This window comes from Homo sapiens, chromosome 5 (genome assembly GCF_000001405.40).
Source record: "Homo sapiens chromosome 5, GRCh38.p14 Primary Assembly".
In the NCBI taxonomy this organism is placed as follows: Eukaryota; Metazoa; Chordata; class Mammalia; order Primates; family Hominidae; genus Homo; species Homo sapiens.
In genome coordinates this window covers 156,782,723-156,784,809 of record NC_000005.10, presented here as the reverse complement: position 1 = coordinate 156,784,809, position 2,087 = coordinate 156,782,723, and the positions used below count along the sequence as shown (strand labels likewise).

At 45.2% G+C, this 2,087-nt stretch overlaps 1 annotated feature.

Moving 5' to 3' along the window:
* Positions 1,407 to 1,586: an enhancer, noted in NCBI's record as "active region_23494". NCBI's record gives its function as "activates an Ori minimal core promoter by ATAC-STARR-seq in GM12878 lymphoblastoid cells {active_cell/tissue: GM12878}" and the evidence as "EXISTENCE:reporter gene assay evidence [ECO:0000049][PMID:35858748]".

Genomic DNA, 2,087 nt, shown 5'->3' with positions numbered 1-2,087 from the left:
TTAGTGCTTCCTTCAGGACCTCTTGTAAGGCAGGCCTAGTGGTGACAAAATCTCTCAGCATTTGCTTGTCTGTAAAGGATTTTATTTCTTCACTTGTGAAACTTAGTTTGTCTGGATATGAAATTCTGGGTTGAAAATTCTTTTCTTTAAGAATGTTGAAGTTTGGACCCCACTCTCTTCTGGCTTGTAGGGTTTCTGCCAAGAGATCTGTTGTTAGTCTGATGGGCTTCCCTTTGTGGGTAACCCGACCTTTCTCTCTGGCTGCCTTTAACTTTTTTTTTTTTTTTTCATTTCAACCTTGGTGAAGCTGACAATTATGTGTCTTGGTGTTGCTCTTCTCGCGGAGTATCTTTGTGTTTCCTGAATTTGAATGTTGGCCTGTGTTGCTGGGTTGGGGAAGCTCTCCTGGATAATATGCTGAAGAGTGTTTTCCAACTTGGTTCCATTCTCCCCATCAGTTTTGGGTACACCAATCCAATGCAGATTTTGTCTTTTCACATCCTCCCGTATTTTTTGGAGGGTTTGTTCATTTCTTTTCACTCTTTTTTCTCAATTTTGTCTTCTCACTTTATTTCATTAATTTGATCTTCAATCACTGATATCCTTTCTTTCACTTGATCGAATCGGCCATTGAAGCTAGTGTATGCTTCACAAAGTTCTTGAACTGTGGTTTTCAGCCTCATCAGGTCATTTAAGGTCTTCTCTACATTGGTTATTCTAGTTAGCCATTCATCTAACCTTTTTTTCAAGGTTTTTAGCTTCCTTGCGATGGGTTAGAACATGCTCCTTTAGCTCAGAGAAGTTTGTTATTACTGACCTTCTGAAGCCTACTTCTGTCAACTCTTCAAAGTCATGCTCTATCCAGTTTTGTTCTCTTGCTGGGAAGGAGTTGTGTTCCTTTGGACGAGAAGAGGCATTCTGTTTTTTGGAATTTTCAGCCTTTCTTCTGTGGTTTCTCCCCATCTTTGTGGTTTTATCTCCCTTTGTTCTTTGATGTTGGTGACCTACAGATGGGGTTTTGATGTGGATGTCCTTTTTGTTGATGTTGATTTGATTCCTTTCTGTTTTTTAGTTTTCCTTCTAACAGGCCTCTCAGCTGCCATTCTGTTGGAGTTTGCTGGAGGTCCACTCCAGACCCTGTTTGCCTGGGTATCATCAGCAGAGGCTGCAAAACAGTGAATATTGCTGCCTGATCCTTCCTCTGGAAGCTTCATCCCAGAGGGGCACCTGCCTGTATGAGGGTCTGTCGGCCCCTACTGGGAGGTGTCTCCCAGTCAGGCTACACGGGGATCAGGGACCCACTTGAGAAGGCAGTCTGTCCATTATCGGAGCTCAAACGCCATGCTGAGAGAACCATTGCTCTCTTCAGAGCTGTCAAGCAGTGATGTTTATGTCTGCAGAAGCTGTCTGCTGCCTTTTGTCCAGATATGCCCTGCCCCTAGAGGTGGAATCTAGAGTCAGTAGGCCTTGCTGAGCTATGGTGGGCTCCACCCAGTTGGAGTTTCCCTGTTGCTTTGTTTATACCATGAGCATTGAACCACCTACTCAAGCCTCAGCAATGGCAGATGCCCCTCCCCCGGCCAAGCTGGGGCATCCCAGTTCGATCTCTGACTGCTGTGCTAGAAGGGAGCAAGGCTCTGTGTGCATGGAACCCACTGAGCCAGTCACGGGAGGCAATCTCCTGGTTTACCAGTTGCAAAGACCATGGGAAATGTGCAGTATTTGGGCTGCACCATTCCTCCAGGTACAGTCATTCACAGCTTCCCTTGTCTAGGAAAGGGAAATCCCTCAACCCCTTGTGCTTCCTGAGAGAGTCGGCGTCCTGCCCTGCTCATTCTCCATGGGCTGCACCCACTGTCCAAGCAGTCCCAATGAGATGAACCAGGTACCTCAGTTGAAAATGCAGAAATAACCCGTTTTCTGCATCAACCTCAATGGGAGCTGTAGACTGGAGCTGTTTCTATTCGGCCATCTTGGAAGCGACTCCTCTCCTCTTTTAAAACGAATAGAGATATCTAGCTGTTCCAGCATCATTTGTTGATTCTCATATTCTTGTTATTCAGGTGAAAATATTTTCTAATCTTTGA